Below are 19,198 nucleotides of genomic sequence, written 5' to 3' on the forward strand. Positions count from 1 at the left end.
TCCTTCTATAACTTGGATCAGTTTATTTCCTGTCAGCCTTTTACCTGTAGGGTTCTGTACTGTAGACTTTTCTCTTTTTATGGTTCACTCTTTATGACCTTCTTATTCTGAATCTCCAAATACTATCTCTAGATATGTCATTATCAACTGTCTTCTTTCACACTACACATCTCTTGTAGATTATTTTTATGATTTTTATTTATTTATTTATTTATTTGTTTGTTTGTTTGTTTATTTATTTTGAGACGGAGTCTCGCTCTGTCACCCAGGCTGGAGTGCAGTGGCGCGATCTCGGCTCACTGCAAGCTCCGCCTCCCGGGTTCACACCATTCTCCTGCCTCAGCCTCCCGAGTAGCTGGGACTACAGGCGCCCGCCACCACGCCCGGCTAATTTTTTGTAGTTTTAGTGGAGACGGGGTTTCACCGTGTTAGCCAGGATGGTCTCGATCTCCTGACCTCGTGATCCGCCCGCCTTGGCCTCCCAAAGTGCTGGGATTACAGGCATGAGCCACCGCACCCAGCCCTCTTTTAGATTTTTTACCCAAATTATCGGCATATTTTAGAAAAGCATTCGTAACAGAATTTTGAGATGTTTATTGCCTGCAATCTTACTGTCTTCTAGTACTTATTTTTCTCTACATCAAAACATAGCACCACCACGCACCCCTTCACTCTCAACAGCAAAATGATAGGCATTGCTATTGCATCCTTCTCATTCACATCCCACATTTCATCAATTATCAAATCCTACTTAGTAAAGGTTCTATATATGGTTTATGTGTGTGTGAGGGTGTTTTCACTTTTTTTAGGTTTTATGTTTTTAATTGATATGGAATAATTACAGAATAATTATACATATCTATGGAGTACATTGTGATGCCTCACATTAAGTAGATGCTGTCATCATCTGTATAACAACGTTTGCCAGTTCCAGAGTATGAATTGAGAATGTGGGAAAGAATTTCTTCAGCACATAGTAATGTGATTAGGGTTGTTCTCTTTTTTTTTTTTTTATAACAGCAGCAATATTGATATAGAGAGATAATACTAAATATTATATGTAGATATAATCTCAGGATATTTACTTTCTTTTCTAAAATTTAACTAAACTATGTTGTCTACATTGTAAAATCATATAGTTGGCCATAAATACACTTGAAAATGATGGCCTGTGTTTTTCTGGCACCAGTAGAAAAGTATCAAGGGATGAAGACTTGGCCATGCCTAAAAGCCCTAGTTTATTTCTGCATCTCAGTAATGGTGTTTACTCCTTAAGCATACCACATTGCTGCCTGTTGCTTTGAAAAAGCACAGGTAGTGTGTACATAATAGGCATAATGAAAATATTTAATTTTTTACTTTCCTATTCTTTCTTACTCCTTTTTAATTTTTTAAGTTTTTTACAAATTTAGGAGGAACATGTAAAAGTTTGTTACATGTATGTAATGAGTAATGATTAAGCCAGGACATGTAGGGTTTTCATCCCCTGTGTACAATATATTTTGGTTAACTATATTCACCCCACTTTACTATCAAATATCGGTTTTAGCCTTTCTGGCTCTCTGAGTGGCATCATGGTGGTTGGCAAAAACAAGCACCTCACAAAAGGTGGCAAAAAGGAGCCAAGGAGGAAGTGGTTGATTCATTTGCTAAGAAAAATGGTGTGATGTAAAAGCACCTGCTATGTTCAATATAAGAAATATTGGAAAGACACTAGTCACCAGGGCTCAAGTAAATAAAACTGCATCCGACAGCATCAGGGGTCATGTGTTTGAAGTGAATCTTGCTGATCTGCAGAATAATGAAGTTGAATTTGGAAAATTCAAGCTGATTCTTGAAGATGTTCATGTCAAAAACTTCCTAACTTCCATGGCATGAATCTTACCCGTGATAAAATGTGTTCCACAGTAAAAAAGGGCAGACCATGATTAAAGTTTCTTTCGATGTGAAGACTATTGATGTTAATTTATTTTGTCTGTTTTGTATTGGTTTTACTAAAAAATGCAAAAATTAGTTATAGAGATGTCTTATGCTCTGCACCAATGGGTCCACCAAATCCAGAAAAAGGTGATAGAAATCATGACCTGAGAAGTGCAAACAAATGACTTGAAAGAAGTGGCCAGTAAATTGATTTCATACATAATTGGAAACGACATAAAAAAAAAAAAACCTTGTCAATCTATTTATCCTCGTCATTATGTCTTTTTTAGAACAGTAAAAATGCTGAGGGAGCCCAAGTTTGAATTGGGAAACTCATGGAGTTTCATGGTGAAGGTAGTAGTTCTGAAAAAGCTACTGGGGATGAGATAGTTGGTAAAGTTTAACAAGTTTATGGGTATGAACAACTCTTCCAACAATCTGTTTAAAGTTCAGACTTTTAATATTGTAAATAAAAAGTCCCATTTGTGATAAAAACAACACATGGACCTTAATTTTTCTATCCAACTGTATGTTCTTATACCCTTTAACCTACTTCTCTTTAGTCCCCCTTTCTACCCTCAACTCACCCTTCTCAGTCTGTTATCTATTCTGTTATCTATCTTTCCACTCCTTACCTCTATGTGATCATTTTTTTAACTCATAAGTGAGAATATGCAATTTTTATTTTTTGTGCCTGGCTTATTTCACTTAGGATGATGACCTCCAGTTCCATCCATGTTGTTGCAAATGACATGAATTTGCTCTTTTTTATGGCCAAGTAGCATTTCATTGTGTATATGTACCACATTTTCTTTATCCATTCGTCTGTTGATAGACACTCAGGTTGCTTGTGTATCTGGTATTTTGAGTAGTGCTGCAATAAACATGTGAGTGCAGGCATCGCTTTGATTTATTAGTTTATTTTCCTTTGGGTTGATACCTAGTAGTGGCATTGCTGTATCAAATGGTAATTCTAGGTTTAGAATTCAAGAAAATTCCATACTATTCTTCATAGTGACTGTACTGGTTTACATTCCCACCGATGGTGTTTGAGAATTCCCTTTTCTCCATACTCTCACCATCATCTGTTATTTTTTGGTCTCTTTAGATGCCTAATAGACATTCTGGCTGGGATAAAAGGATATCTCATTTTGTTTTTCATTTGCATTTCTCTGATGATTAGTGATGTGAAGCTTTTTTTTGTATACCTGTTGATCATTTGCATGTCTTCTTTTCAGAAATGTCTATTCATGTCCTCTGCACACTTTTTAACAGGATTGGGGTTGTTTTTTGTAATTTATTGAGATGTTTGAGTTCCTCAAATATAAATATTAGCCCCCTGTCAGACTAATAGTGTGCAGATATTTTCTCACATTCAACATATAGTTTTTTCACTCTCGGTTATTTATTTTGCTTTGCAGAACCTATTTAGTTTAATTAAGTCCTTTCTATTTGTCTGTTTTTGTTTTTGTTGCCTGTGCTTTTGAGGTCTTAGTAATAAATCCTTTGCCTAGATCAATGTCCGGAAGAGTTTTGCTTTAGTTGTCTACTAGTATTTTTATACTTTCAGGTCTTATATTTAAATCTTTAATTTATTTTGAGTTAATGTCTATACGATGAGAGATAAGAGTTCAGTTTTATTCTTCTGTAGCCAATTTTCTTAGCACATTTACTGAAGAGAGTATATTTTCCCCAGTGTAAGTTCTTGTCAGATTTGTCAAAGATTAGTTGGCTGTAAATATGTGGCCTTATTTCAGGGTTCTCTATACTGTTCCATTGGTCTATGTATCTATTATTATACAAATACTATGCTGCTTTGGTTACTATGGCCTTGTAATATATTTTGAAGTTAGGTAATATGATGCTTCCAGATTTGTCCATTTTGCTCAGGAATGCTTTGGTTATTTGGGCTCTTTTTTGTTTTGCTTTGTTTTATATTAGTTCTAGATTTTTTTTATCTTTGTGTAAAATAATGAGAGCATTTTTATAGAGATTGAATTAAATCTGTAGATTGCTTTGCGAAATATGACCATTTTAGTGACATTAATTCTGCTCCATGACCATAAGATGCTTTTCTATTTTTTTGGTGTTCCCTTCAATTCCTTTAATCAGCATTTTGTTTATTTTCCTAATAAACCTATTTTTACCTCCTTTGTTAATTTTATTGCTAGGAATATTTTTGGCAGCTTTTATAAATGAGATTAGCTTATTGATTCTTTCAGCTACATTATTACTAACGTATAGAAATGTTACTGATCTAGCCGATGAGGTGGCTCATAACTGTAATCCCAGCACTTCGGGAGGCTGAGGTGGGCAGATCACTTGAGGTCAACATGGTGAAACCACATCTCTACTAAAATAAAAATGCAAAATCAGCCCGGTGTAGTAGCACGTGCCTGTGATACCACCTACTCAGGAGGCTGAGGGAGGAGAACAATTTGAACCCAGGAGACGGAGGTTGCAGTGAGCTGCGATGCTAAGATTGTGTGCTTGCAAGTAAGAGAAGGGAAGGGAAGGGAAGGGGAAGGGGAAGGGAAAAGAGAAGAGAAGAGAAGGGAAGGGGAAGGGGAAGGGAAAAGAGAAGAGAAGGGAAGAGAAGGGAAGAGAAGAGAAGAGAAGAGAGAGAAGAGAAGAAAGAAAGAGAAAGAAAGAAAGAAAAGGAAAGAAAGAAAAAGAAAGAAAGAAAGAAAGAAAGAAAGAAAGAAAGAAAGAAAGAAAGAAAGAAAGAAAGAAAGAAAGAAAGAAAATGCTATTGGCTTTTGTAGGTTGACTTTCTATCCTGCAACTTTACTGAATTCATTAATCTAATATAAGATATTTTTGGTGGAGACTTTAAGTTTCTCTAGATATAACATCATATCATCAGCAAAGAGGGACAATCTGACTTTCTCTTTTTCTATTTGGATATCCTTTATTCTTCTCCTTTTTTTTTTTTTTTTTTTGAGATGGAGTCTTGCTCTGTCGCCCAGGCTGGAGTGTGATGGCGCAATCTTGGCTGGCTGCAACCTCCACCTCCCAGGCTCAAGCAATTCTCCTGCCTCAGCCTCCCAAGTAGCTGGGATTACAGGCATGCACAACCATGGCCAGCTAATTTTTGTATTTTTAGTAGAGATGGGGTTTCACCATGTTGGCCAGGCTGGTATTGAACTCCTGACCTCAGGTGATCCACCCACCTCAGCCTCCCAAAGTTCTGGGATTACAGGCGTGAACCACTGTGCCCGGCCACCCTTTGTTTTTCTTTTGCCTGAGTTCTCTGGCTAGGACTTTAAGTGCTTTGCTGAATACGAATGCTGAAAGTGGCCATCCTTGTCTTGTTCTAGTTCTTAGACGAAAGGCTTTTGACATTTCCCCATTTCATATGATGTTAGCTGTTGGTTTGATATACATGGCTTTTATTATTTTGAAGTATTTTTCCTTCTAGGCATAGTTTGTTGAGAGGTTTTGTCATGAAGGTATGCTGAATTTTGTCAAATGCTTTTTCTGCATCTATTGAGATGATCATATGGACTTTTTCCTTCATTCTGTTGACATAATATTGATTTGTGTATGTTGTACCATCCTCGCATCCCTACCCATAAATCCTATGTCATTATGGTTTATTATCTTTTTCATGTGCGGTTGGATTTATTTAGCTAGTATTTTATTGGTGTTTTTTTAGTCTATTTTCATCAGGAATATTGACCTATATTTCGTTCTTTGTTGAGTCCTTGTCTGGTTTTGGTATCAGGGTAATGCCGGTCTCACAGAATTAGTTAGGAAGAATTTCCTCCTCTTTAAATTTTTTTGAAATAAAGATCCTCTTTTTTTTTTTTTTTTTTTGTTGTTGTTGTTGTTTGTTCCTTTCAAGAGGATTGGTATTAGTTCTTTGTACATTTGGTAGAATTATTATTGGGAGACATTTTATTACAGATTCAAACTTGCTATTTATTGGTCTGTTCAGGTTTTCTACTTCTTCCTAATTCAATCTTGGTAGATCTTATATTTTCTGTAATTTATCCATTTTCTCTAGGTTTTTCAGTTTATCAGTGTATAGTTGTTTATAGCTGTCTCTTATGACCTTTTCTAGTTCTGTGGTATCAGTTGCAATGTCTCCATTTTCATTTCTGATTTTATTTATGTCTTCTCTCTTCTTGGTTAGTCAAGCTAGTGATTAATCAAGTTTAGTTCACCTTTCTGAAGAACCAATTTTCTATTTTGTTGATCCGTTGTAATTTTTTAGTGTCTGTTTCATTTAGTTCTGTTCTGATTTTTATTGTTATTTTCTTCAGCTAATTTTAGGTTTGGTTTGTCCTTTCTTTTCTCATTCCTTAAAGTACATTGTTAGTCTGTTAATTTGTAATCTTTCTACTTTTTTAATGTTTCAAACTTTTCTCTTAGCACTCCTGTTGCTGTATCACATAGGTTTTGCTATGTTGTGTTTTCATTTTCCTTTGTTTCAATAAATTTTTTACGTTTCCTTCTTAATTTCTTTGTTAGCCCAGTGGTCATTTGGATGTATGTTTTTTAATTTCCATGTATTTGTATAATTTTCAAGATTCCTTTTGGTTGTGATTTCTAGTTTTATTTCATTGTGGACTCAGAACATAGTTGATATGATTTTGAATTTGTCGAGACTTTTTTGGAATCTAACATATGGTCTATCCTGGAAAATGTTCCATGTTCTGATGAAAATAATATACATTCTCAATTGTTGTATAGAGTGTTCTGTAAATGTCTGTTAGGTCCATTTAGTCTATAGCTCAGTATAGAGTCAATATTTCTTCATTGATTTTCTATCTAGATGATCTATGTAATGGTGAGAGTGGGCTGTTAAATTCTCCCACCATTACTAGATTGCAGCGTATCTCTTTCCATAGATCTCATAATCGTTGTTGTATGAATCTGAATGCTAAGGTTCTGGGGACATATATAATTGTTATATCTTAGAACTATATCTCTTTATTATTATATAGTGACATTTTTTGTCTTTTTGATACTGTTTTGATTTAAAGAGTGTTTTATCTGATATAAGTACAGCTACTTCTGCTTGCTTTTGTTTTATATTTGAATGGAATATTGTTTTCTATCCCTTTAATTTTAGTCTGCATGTATCTTTACTGATAAGGTTCATTTCTTATAAGTAGCCCATAGTTGGATCATTTTTTTATCCTTTCAGCAATTATTTCCTTTAAGTGAATAATTTAATTCATTTGCATTCAAGGTCATTATTTGTATCTGGGGTTTTGTTGCTGTAATATTGTTAATTATTTTCTGATTGTTTTATATATTATTTATTTATTTTTCTTCTATTGTTTCTCATTTTGGTTTGGTGGATTTCTGTAATGAGTCATTTCTCTTCCTTTCTGTGTGATTACTTTATCAGTGAGTTTTATACTTTCATGTTTGTTCATGATGGTAAATGTTATCCTTTAACTTATAGGTTTAAGACCCCCTTAGATATTTCTTTTAAGACCTGTCAAAATGGTAACAAGTTCCCTCAGCATTTGCTTGTCTGGAAAATATTTTATTATCTTTCATTTATGAAGGATAATATTGCTGGATGTACCCTTCTTCATTGGAAGTTTGTTTGTATTTTTTCGGTACTTTTAATATATAATTCCATTCTCTTCTAGCCTGTAAAGTTGCTGCTGAGAGATTTTATATTAGTCTCACGGAAGTGACTCAATATCTTTGTCTTTCTGTTTTTAGTATTTGCTCTTTGTCTTTGACTTCATACAACTGCTTATAATGTTCCATGGAGAAGAAATTTTTGCATTGTATCTGCTTGGGGATCACTGAGCCATTTTCATGTATTATTTTATTCAATAAGTTTTCTATTTTTTTGTTATCTCTATGCCTTTGGTGATTCTGATAATTTTAATATTCAATTGCTTTATGCTGTCTTAAATATCACAGAGGCTTTGCTCATTCTTTTATATTATATTTTCTTTATTTTTGTCTCACTGGGTTCTATCAAAAGACCTGTCTTCAAGTTCTGAGATTCTTTTTTCTGCTTAATCAAGTCTATTATTGAAACTTTCAAATGTAAATGTAATTTGTATTTCCTTTAATAAAGTCTTCATTTCCAGAATTTTTATTTGATTATTATAAAAACATATTCTAAATATATATTCTAAAAATGTATACTATTTTTGAAAAAATATGTCTTTGGTAAGTTTCTCATTTATATCCTGATTTTTTAAATATTTTATCTGTATTTTATAGAATTCTCTTTATCTAACTAAGTTTCTTTACAGATAATGTTTTAAATTCTTTATCTATTATTTTGAGAATTTCCATTTGGCTAAGATTTATAGTTGGATAATTACTGTGTCCCTTTGGAAGTGTCATATTTCCTTTTTTCATGAGTCTTGTGTCCTCACATTGATATCTGCACATCTGGTGTAACAGTCACTTCTTCCTATTTTTAAATTTAGGAGACTTTTTCCTGAAAATGTATCTATAATGTGGGTTGAATAGGGCATTTAGCTATGATTCGGGATACTTGCAGTAGTGTAGTCTCTTTATGATTTCTTTGACTGTAAACAATTTTCATAATGTTTGTGATTTCCTCAGTGGCTTGGGGTAAACTTATTAGTGAAGATTATGGCAAAGTCGTGCTGGGGACTAGAATGCCAGAAGTGCCAATATTCAAAGACTAGTGATTGCACCTGTGGGTTTAGCATGCCTATTTTTGTGCCGCAGGGCAATATACATTGGCATCTGTGTTGGTAGCTATCAGTGAGCCAATTCTTGGGCTTTCAGATTGTTTGCTTGGATGGTGGTTGTGGCAGAGATGGACTGAGTGGATGGGTGGGTTATAGGTCCCTAAGCAGCCAGAGTGGTAGAGGAGATAGTGGTAGCAGTGGCAAGACAAGTCTCTGAGTCCCAAGTGGTGTGCATTGGTGGTGGAGGTGGCTGTGATGGTCTGGACAGCCCAGTCTTCAGGCTTGCAGATGGTGCTTGCAGATAGGTGCCAGCTGTGTTGGTAGCAACCAGATGTTTAGATTTAATCTCAGGCCCTCTGGAGGAGTTTTCAGATGCTGCAGTGGTGGATTAAATTGGGCAATTCCCAAAACCCTGGCTATGTGATCTGTCTTGGAATGATGGGTAAAAGCCAAGTGGGAGGGCTTGTGCTCAGGCCCAACCAATGATGAGAGAAGGCACCAGTCATGATGGGTGGGGGCAGAGTGCTCCAAGTAGAGTGCTCAAGTAAAGAGTGGTTGCGGCTGTGCTGAGACCCTGCCACTGGAGTGGATGGCGCAGGTTTCATCGGACACAGCCTGGGTCAATGATGGGGCAAACATTCATCCCTCTCATGCCATAGCCCCAGTGGGGTTCAACTCTCAGTCCTGGCAAGAATAGCACATGCCTAGTTCACACCTCAGCCCAACTGTAGGAACTGCCTGCCCAATTTGCAATTCAGTCCTAGCAGCAAGTTCTACCCCATTTGCATCCTAGTATCAGTCACTATGGAGCTCACTTACCAGAACCAGCAGCTGCAGTCTATGCCTCATTCAATTATCAGCTCCAAATGTGGGAATTTGTTCCCAGATCACACCCCAGTTCCTGCAGCAACATCCCAAGCTTTCCTAACACCTCAGTCTCAGTGCCACTGAGCTCCAGGGCAGAAAGCTAGGATTTAAATTGGCACTTGGCTATAACTACTTATGTCAGAGAAAGGGTGTGGGACAAAGCACAAACTCCATCCTGGAGCAATTCTTTCTCACAGTCTCCTGGAAGCTCCCCGTGTTAGTTTCAAGGCTTCACAGGGTCAAAGGGCTCTTCTGTGGCAAGACTCCATGGTGGGAATGCAGACTACCTCAATTTTCTCACTTACACTCTCTCCATGTGGGGAAGACACTCCTGTCTCCCAGCCAATCCCAGCCAAGCACACTGGCTCTTTCTGTCTCTTCTCCTTCCTTGATTTCAATGTTTCCTGTCACTTTTCTGTTGCATTCCAGTGTTCTTTCTTATATAATGCATTCAGTGTGATTGTCTACATACTATTTTTGTTCTTCTGAGTAAAGGAGACAAGCATGAAATTCTTCTAGCCATCTTGAAGCCCCTCCTTATGTGTTTTTTAAAATATCACTTCTCTTTGCCACTTCTTTCTCATGTTTAGAGTTAAAAGCAACATGGTCTTAATTGACATACTGAAAATCCTAAATTGTAGTCCATGATTGTTGCTCTTAAAATAATACCTGTCACTGGGTAATTTATAAATAAACAAAATGTATTTCTTCCAGTTCTGGAGGCTGGAAAATCCAGAGTTAAGGGAGTGCATCTGGTGGGAACTCCACAGAGTCCCAAGGCAGTACAAGGTGTTATATGAGGAGGGGCCTGGGGATGCCAGCTCAGGTCTCTCTTTTACCCTATATAAAGCCACTAATGCCAATCCCATAATAACCCATTAATTCATTAACCCATGAATCTATTCATCTGTGAGTGAATTAAGTCATTAAAGACAGCAGGAACCCCATGACACAGTTATCTGTTTAATACCTCGCCTCTCAATACTGCCATATTGAGGATTAAATTTCAACATGCATTTTGGAAGGGACAAATATTTAAAGCATAGCATTCTGCCCATAGTCCCTCAAGACTCATGTGCTTTTCATATTCATCTAATCTCATTGCCCTAAAGTCTTAACGCGTTCCAGTACCAAGTCAAAAGTTTAAAGTTCAGAGTCTCCTTCTGTAAACCTGTAAAATCAAAATAAGTTAGTTACTTCTAAGACACAATGATAGTACAAGCCTGGCATAGGTATTCCTATTTCAAATGTAGGAAATAGGCAAAAGAAAGTAGGAACAGTCCCCAAGCAAGTGCAAAACTCCAAAAGACAGACATTCAATCTTAAAGGAGGAGAACAATTTCTTTTGACTCTATGTGCCATTTCCTGGACAGACTGGAGGTCAGGTGCCCAAGGCCTCAAGCAACCCTGTCCCTACGGCTTTACTGGGTGCAGCCAACACAGCTGCCCAAACAGGCTAGAGTCAAGTACCTGAAGATTTCCCAGGCAAGTATTGCGTATTGCCAGTGACTCTACAGTTCGGAGGTCCTGGTGGCAATCCTACTGTCATGGCTCCACTAGGCACTGCACTAGTGGTAAGTCTCTGACCCTGCCTTTCCATTCTGTTTCACTTTATTTGGGTCTCTCTATGGTAGCTCTGCCCCTGTGACAAATCTCAGGCTTGGCTCCCAGACTTTCAGTGACATCCTTTGAAATCTGCATGGAAGTTGCCTGACCGCCATAGCCCTTGCTTTCTGTAAGCCTGAATAATTAACACCATGTAGGTGTCCCAAGGCTTATGGCTTGTATCTTCTTGAGTGAAGGGTAATATCAGTCTCTACCTGGACCTATTTATGCAACAGCAGGTGTGGCTAAGAAGCACTGGATGGGATTTCAAGGAGCAGAATCTCAAAGTGGCTCTGGAAAGTAAGCCTATGGAGCAAGCTGTGGACCTATGCCCCAAACCATCCTACCCTCCTAGGCTTCTGAGACTGTGATGAGAGGGGAAGCCTCAGAGTTTTCTGAAATGCTTTTGGGGTCTTTCATTGTCTCTAGAAATTGCAGCTGGCTCTCTTCTTTTTTTTAAATTATTGATTCAAGGAGCACATAGTCTTCTTAGTTACATGGGTATTGTATGTGTAATGGTGGGGGTTGGCCTTTTAGTGTACCCATCACCCAAATATTGAACACTGTATCCAATAGAAGCATTTTCAGTGCACACATCCTTCCTACTCTCCCCTCTTTTGGAGGGAGTCCCCATAGTTTATACTCTTCATTTTTGTGTCCCTGGGCTAATTCCATTACCAAATGATCCCTGGGCCACATCCTTGGTTTCCTCTCCTGAACACAGGTGTTCACTATTTACATGACCAAGCTGAGAGTTTTCTAAACTTTTTGTTCTGCTTCCATTTCAGATTATAAATCTATCTTTAAATTGTTTCTTTGCTGCTGAATCAGTGCAAGCAGCCAAAAGTAAACGTGCAGCTCCTTCTAAATTTTGCTTAGTAATTTCCTCTGCTAGATATGTTAGTATTCATCTCTCTGAAGTTCATCCTTCCACAAAGCCCTTATGGACATAGTTCAGACAAGTTATTTGCCAATTTATAACAACATAAAGCTGGTCTTTACTCCAGCTTCCAATACCTTGGTTCCTCAGTTCTATCTGAGACCTGGTTAGAATGGACTATAGTGCCTATATTTTTATCAGATTTTTGGTCACAACTAATTAACCAATCTTTTTGAAATTTCAAACTTTCTCTAGTCATTTTGTTATTTTTTGATCCCTCACCAGAGTTACCCTTAATATACTATTTAAGTCAATGCGGGGTTTTTCTAGCCTTATCTTCTAAGCTCTTCCAACCTCTACCCATTATCCTATTCCAAAGCTATCCCACATTTTCAGATATTCTTTAATAGCAACAGCCCCATTATCAGCACCAATTTTGTGTCTTAATCCATTTTACTGTTGCTTATAACAGAGCACCTGAAACTAAGAAATCAATAAGGAAATTAAATTTGTTTCTTACAGTTATATAGGGTGAGAACTCTGAAGTTGAGAGACCACATCTGGTAAGATTCTTCTGGGTTGTGGGAACTTTCTGCAGAGTCCTGAGGTGGTACAGTGCATCACATGGTGAGAGGACTTATACAGTGAATTCAGGTATCTTTCTCCTCTTATGAAACCACTTACAGGCCACTCCTGTAATAATCCATTAGTAAACTAAGCCACGAATCCATGAATGGATCAATTCACTCATGAGAACTCTTCTCTTATCACCCGATTACTTTTTAATAGCCCCACAACTCTATACAGCCTCACTGGGGGTAAAATTTCAACATGAGTTTTGGAGGGGACAAATATATAAAATATAGAATTTGGGGTTTTTTTTCAGTATTGCTCTATCTACACCCATTATTTCTGTTTTGAAAAAAAAAAAAACAAAATGTTTCCTATGGTTGCCTATTATCTCTTTTCCATGCCATTTCATCCATAATTTGATTAGGATTTGGATGATCAAAAGATCATCCTTTCTGCAGTCCCTTGAACATCCTGTGCTCCACACTTCACTGGGAATTTTCTCATTTTCTCACTTTGCCTAGAATATTCCCACCCGATTTCTCTTTATTCTGGCCAACAGAAGGTTTCATATAATAATATTTCTTCAGAAAGGATTTCTTTTTGTTTCATAGATACCTCTCTCGTATAGGTTGACTTGGCATCCTGCAATCTTCCTTTCATATTACTCTTCAGTGTTAACGTTTCTCAATAACTTCTTGTTGCATTAGACTATACATATGATAAGAGCAAAAGCCATATTCATATTGTTCATCACTTTATCTCAAAGGACTAGAAAGTGACTAGCCTAATAGGAATGGATTTTTAAGTCCATAAGTTATAAATCTAAAAGTTTGGATTTAAAACTTTGGAGATTGAGTGACATTAGGCAATTAGAAAACAAAAGTCCTACCTAAAGAATAAACTGTCTCAGTTCACTTTTTGCTGTTATAACAGAATACCACAGATTGGATGATTTATACACAATATGTTTATTTGGCTTGCAGTTCTGGAGGCTGGAAAGTCCAAGATCAAGAGGCCAATTCCGGTGAAGATCTTCATTACCTATCACCTGTGGGAAAAAGGGGATGAATTCTTGAGACCACTGACCCACTCCCATGATAACTGCATTAATCCATTAAGGAGAAAGGATCTAATCACCTCTTAATGATCCCATCTCTTAATACTGTCACAATGTCCATTAAATTTAAACCCGAGTTTTAGAGAGAACATTCAAACCATAGTAGTGACTGAAGGTATATGAATCTGAGACTTTGGATTAAAAATTTGAACGTAATCAAACTTCCATTGAGACTAATAAAAATATAAAAGAGAGAGAGATGAAGAAAAAGGCACTTATACACAATATCATAAGTAAATCACTCAATATTTAGCCAATCAAAAATGAAATTTAAACAACAAACTTTTCACTTATCAGCATGAATAAATCTTACAAACATATAATTCATCAAAAAATTTACCCTAAGTAATTATGTTTAGAAACAAATAGAACTTAATATTATTCATAAATGTTTAAAATCTTTTTATTTTTGAGACATGATCCCACTATGTTTCCCAGGTTGCAGTACAGTCATATAGGGTAATCATAGCACACTGCCTCTAGAGGAGCCAGAATTATAGGTATGCGCCACCACACCAAGTAAATCCATAAATTTTAAATCGTGCACTGTTCTGAGTAGCTTGATAAAAATCTCAGTTACTGCTGCATCATGTCCTGTAAGTGAATCATCCCTTTGTGTAACTTATCCATGTTACGTGCTACCAGCCCCTTAGTCACTTAGTCATCATCCAGGTTATCAGATTTATTGTTGCAGTACTGCAGTGCTTGTGTTCAGGTAACCTTTATTTTACTTACTAATGACCCCAAAGCACGAGAATAGTGATGCTGACAATTTTGCTATGCTACAGAGAAGCCATAATGTATATTTCCTTTAACTGAAAAGGCGAAAGCTCTTGACTTAATAAGGAAAATAAAAAAATATATGCTGAGGTTGCTAAGATCTGTGGAAAAAACAAACCTTCTATCTGTGAAATTTTTAAAAAGGTAAAATAAATTTCTGCATAATATATATAGGGTTCAGTACTATTTGCAGTTTCAGGCATCCACTGGGGATCTTTGAACATATCTTTGGTGAACAAAGGGGGACTACTGTATAATAAATATGTATATATAAATATAGAAAAACACATATTAGCTATTTATGGGAATGGTAAACACTAAGTGTGCTGCCACTGCAAATTAAGGAAAAAAATTACAGAGAGGTGCCGAACAGAATTCAACTGTATCTTTAATGTTTTATGTATTAAAACAAAAGAAAACATGGATTTTAAGTATATAAGGCTTAATATTAGCAGTTGTAAAATGATTGGATAGTTTATGGATGTCATTCACATTATTCTCTATAATAGTCTAAATATTTGAAATATTTTACATTTTTAAAATTAGATAAAACTACACTTCCAAGAAGATGCATTAGATATATTTTCCCCTGTTCTTTCTGATATGTGCTGCTGAAAACTCTTGGTATTATGTATAAAATATAAGAAGACCCTGAAAGCTAAAAAGAAGTCACACTGGTTAGGGGTCTCAGAACAAAAAATTTGGAAACACAGTAAGCTTCCTGAGTATTATTTTTGCCTCATATATTTCATGCAGGATGCTGGAGAAGCCTAGAAGCAGACAAATGGACGCAGACAAAATAAGCCCCTCAAAAGCCTGTTCCTTTGACACAAACAAATAGGAAAGGGAAAGCCTAAGGAAACAGAGGTTTGAGAAAGTAACCTTTCTGTTACCACCAGACACCACCAACAATTGTCAAGTTAGTGTCCTAGACTTTCACATTTGCCAGGTTATAAAAAGATGTCCCAACTCCCCTGCTGGGGAGGTTTTGAAGGGGGCTGCATAGGGAACTGGAACTCTATCTCCACCAGGTAATAGCCAGCTCCAGTACTACGTCTTCCATGATGGCAATGGAAACCATGCAGAGAGCCTGGACTTTCACCCTCACCAGCATTAACAAGGACTCCCTCTCCGTCCCCAGTGTCGAGTCAGAGGACGTATTGGATAGAGTCAATACTTTCACCATCACCAGAGGGTAATAACACCATTCCCACTGCAGTATCAGTGGAGACTACTTAGGGAGCAGTGACAAGACACTTCCACCCCTCTTAAACAGCAAAGCATCATTGGATACCTGGTGGGGAACAGGAACTCCCATCACTGTCTAAGGTAACAAGGCATCATCCCCTTTGGTCTCAATGGAAACCCATTGGAGAGTCTGAGTTGCTATCGTCACCTAGTTATAATAAGGTGGCTCCTCTTCCCCAGCTGAAGGCATGTCAAATTATACAGCTAAAAAGAAAATATGCAAATAAGATTGAGAGTCTCATAACACAACACAAAAATGTCTTGATTTTAATAAAAAATCTGGTGTTATACAAAGAATTAGAAATATCTCAAACTGAATGGAAAAAGACAAGCATGGCAAATGCCAAAGTGACAGAGATATTAGAACTATCTGACAAAGAGTTTTAAAGCAGAAATCATAAAATGCTTCAATGAGCAACTACAAATGCACTTCACCCAACTGAGAAAAAAAATAGAATGTGTTATTAGAATAAAAATGGACACACTTGTGTTAAAAACCCTAACAAATGGAGGTGGAGAAGGCTGCAAGGGGAGGGTTTTCGTGCATGCATCCATAATAACAAGAACTATCACAAAAGACTGCAAACACCACAACCTTGCACAAAGGCCATCACAGGCTTACACACAAATAATACTTCTGTGAGGATATCTGCTTGGCAACTGCCTGTGCAGCCTTAGCCTGGTGCTATCCTTGCTATTAACCCTATAATTATCTCAAAATAATTATATAACCCTTCCCACTTTCTCTTTAAGAACCTTTGTCTTCCTTTACCTCCCTGAATATGCTCATTATTTACTATGACATGTATATTCCCATTGCAATATTCACTCTCAAATAAAAATAATTTCTTTTATAGAGGCTCTCTCTGTTCATTATCGAGGCTTTGACAAAAGCCTAAAATAGCTCTTAGATCCATACGAGAATTGACATCACAGAGCAAACAGCTGCCAAGAAAACTGAAGAGAGCGGAAAATACATTGTATTGTTTGTGGGGAGAGGAGGAGGAGAAGCCTGCTGCTGTAGTAGTATAAGTGCTAGAACCAAAGTGAGGACTGCCTGAAGAGTTAAAAACTCCCAGGACCCATTCCTGGTCTGGGGTGGGAGTGAATCCTATATTTTTTAAAGTTTTTTCCTCTGGGACCTTCACCAGGTTCTCATTGTGAGGATCAGAGGAAAACTTTGTCATGCTTTGAGTAGAAGAAAAAAAAAAGTACCACCAGAGGCTTTGGTCTACTGGGAAACACACACACACGTACACACACACACACACACAGAGAAAGAGAGAGAGAGAGAGAGAGAGAGAGAGAGAGAGAACCCCCTCTAAAGACTTAGTTGTATTATTGTAGAACACTTCTCCTCCCCAGTATCTTACCACTACAACAACAGAGCTCCAGGATAATAACGGTGAACCACAATTGAACAAGCTGCAAGACACAAAATCCATTTATGAAATCTCCAGGGAAACTCAAAGTTAACAGTGGAGAAAAAGCAAGGACACTAGATACTATTGAAGACTGATATCTACAGGTATAACAAACACTAAACACTTTCTAACTCCTAGTTAGATAAACATAAAATTTCACACTAAAGGACTGTTTATCTCAGTTCCTACTACCTGATGTCACATGTCTGGCTTTCAATAAAAAATTAAACACAAGCATGCTAAAAGACAAGAAAAAAATACAATCTGAAGAGAGGAAGCGAAGCAAGCATCAGAACCAGATTCAGATACAGCAGAGACATGAGGGTAAAGAGAACCAGGAATTTAAAATAACCGTAATTAATATGTTGATGGTTCTAAAGAAAAATAAAACAGCATGAAAGAACAGGTAGGTAAGGTAAGCAAGGAGATTGAAACTCTAAGAAAGAATAAAAAGAAAATCCTAGAGGCTAGATGAGGTGGCTCACACCTGTGGAGGCCAAGGCAGGCAGATCAACTGAGGTCAGGAGATCAAGACCATCCTGGCTAACATGGTGAAACCCTGTTTCTGCTAAAAATACAAAAAATTAGCCAGGCGTGGTGTTGCGTTCCTGTAATCCCAGCTACTCAGGAGGCTGAGATAGGAGAATCACTTGAACCTGGGAGGCGGAGGTTGCAGTGGGCCAAGATCGTGCCATTGCACTCCAGCTTTGGCAACAAGAGGGAAACTCCATCTCAAAAAAACAAAACAACAACAACAAAAAAACCCACAAAAATTAGCCGGTGTGGTGGCAGGGGCCTGTAGCCTCAGCTAACTGGGAGACTGAGGCATGGAAATCACTTGAACCAGGGAGGCAGAGGTTGCAGTGAGCCAAGATTGTGACACTGCACTCCAACCTGGGTGACAGAGCAAGACTTTGTCTCAAAAATAAAAATAAAAAATATAATAAAATGTTAGAAATTAAAAAAGAATTGCACAGAAATAAATAATTCCCTTGATGACTCACCTGTAAATCAGACATGGCCAAGGAAAGAATCAGTGGGCTTAAAGATATCTTGATAGAAACCTCCAGTACTGAAATGCAGAGAGAAAAAATAATGAATAAAGCAATTGAGCCAAATAGTCAAGAATTGTTGGATGTTGATAAAACGTAAAACATGAAATGGAAGTATCAGATGGGTCAGAAAAAGACAAATGAGCAAGACAAATATTGAATTATTTGAAATATTAATTGCTGATAATTTTTCAAAATTAATGACACACTGAAAACCACAGATTTAGGAATTTCATAAAATACCAAGTATGAAAAACCTCAAAAAACTGATGCCTAGGCATATCATATTTATTACAAAACAAAAGACAGAGAAAACCTTGTGAAAAGCCGGTGGTGTGGAGTGGGGTCATGTGAAACCTTATATTTAGAGAAACTAAGAATTACATTAGACGTCCCTTCAGAAACCATACAAGCAAGAATAGAGTGTAGTGAAATATTTAAAGTGTTTGAAGAAAAACCAAGCAATCTAGAATTTTGTATGAAGTTACATTACCCTTAGTATTGAAGAAAAGTTAAAGTCTTTTTCAGACAAACCGAAGGCATTTGTTGGCAGTAGATACGACTTGCAATGTGTCAAAAGGTATTCTTCAGAGAGAAAGAAAATGATATAGGTCAGTTTTTCATGAAGAAAGGAAGCACATCAGAGAAGGAAGAAATGAAGATTTTCAGTGCAATGCTGAATAGAAGTGTTGAGAATGGATGCCCTAGCATTTTTCCTGAACTTATTGGGAAGGATTTAACGTTTTATCTGTAAATATTACATTAACAGAAGCCATTTTGAGGATGCCCTTTGTCATATTGAAGTTTCCTTTTATTCATACTTTTCTGGGTGTTTTCAATAATAGATGGATGTTGAACTTTGCCAAATGAGTTATCTGCATATATTAAGATATCATATTATTTTTCTCTTTTATACTCTTAATACAGTAAATTACACTAATGGATTTTTTAATGCTAAGCCAATCGTGCATTGTTGAAACAAACCCCACTTAGTAGCAAGTTATATTTATTTATATAGATTGCTTTGGATTATTTTGCCTCTTTTTTCAGGAATATTGAATCTATTGTAATAATACATTACTTTG

The 19,198-nt window shown here is 36.9% G+C and overlaps 1 pseudogene, besides 1 other annotated feature; it reads left to right on the forward strand.

The window, feature by feature from the left end:
• On the forward strand, window positions 1,550-2,410 carry RPS3AP9 (RPS3A pseudogene 9; annotated as a pseudogene).
• Window positions 13,695-14,894: an enhancer, noted in NCBI's record as "BRD4-independent group 4 enhancer chr1:188675571-188676770 (GRCh37/hg19 assembly coordinates)". NCBI's record gives its function as "activates an origin of replication core promoter dependent on BRD2, P300/CBP, MED14 and CDK7 cofactors, and independent of BRD4, by STARR-seq in HCT116 cells {active_cell/tissue: HCT116}" and the evidence as "EXISTENCE:reporter gene assay evidence [ECO:0000049][PMID:35650434]".

The sequence above is a fragment of the Homo sapiens genome, chromosome 1 (genome assembly GCF_000001405.40).
Source record: "Homo sapiens chromosome 1, GRCh38.p14 Primary Assembly".
Lineage (NCBI taxonomy): Eukaryota > Metazoa > Chordata > Mammalia > Primates > Hominidae > Homo > Homo sapiens.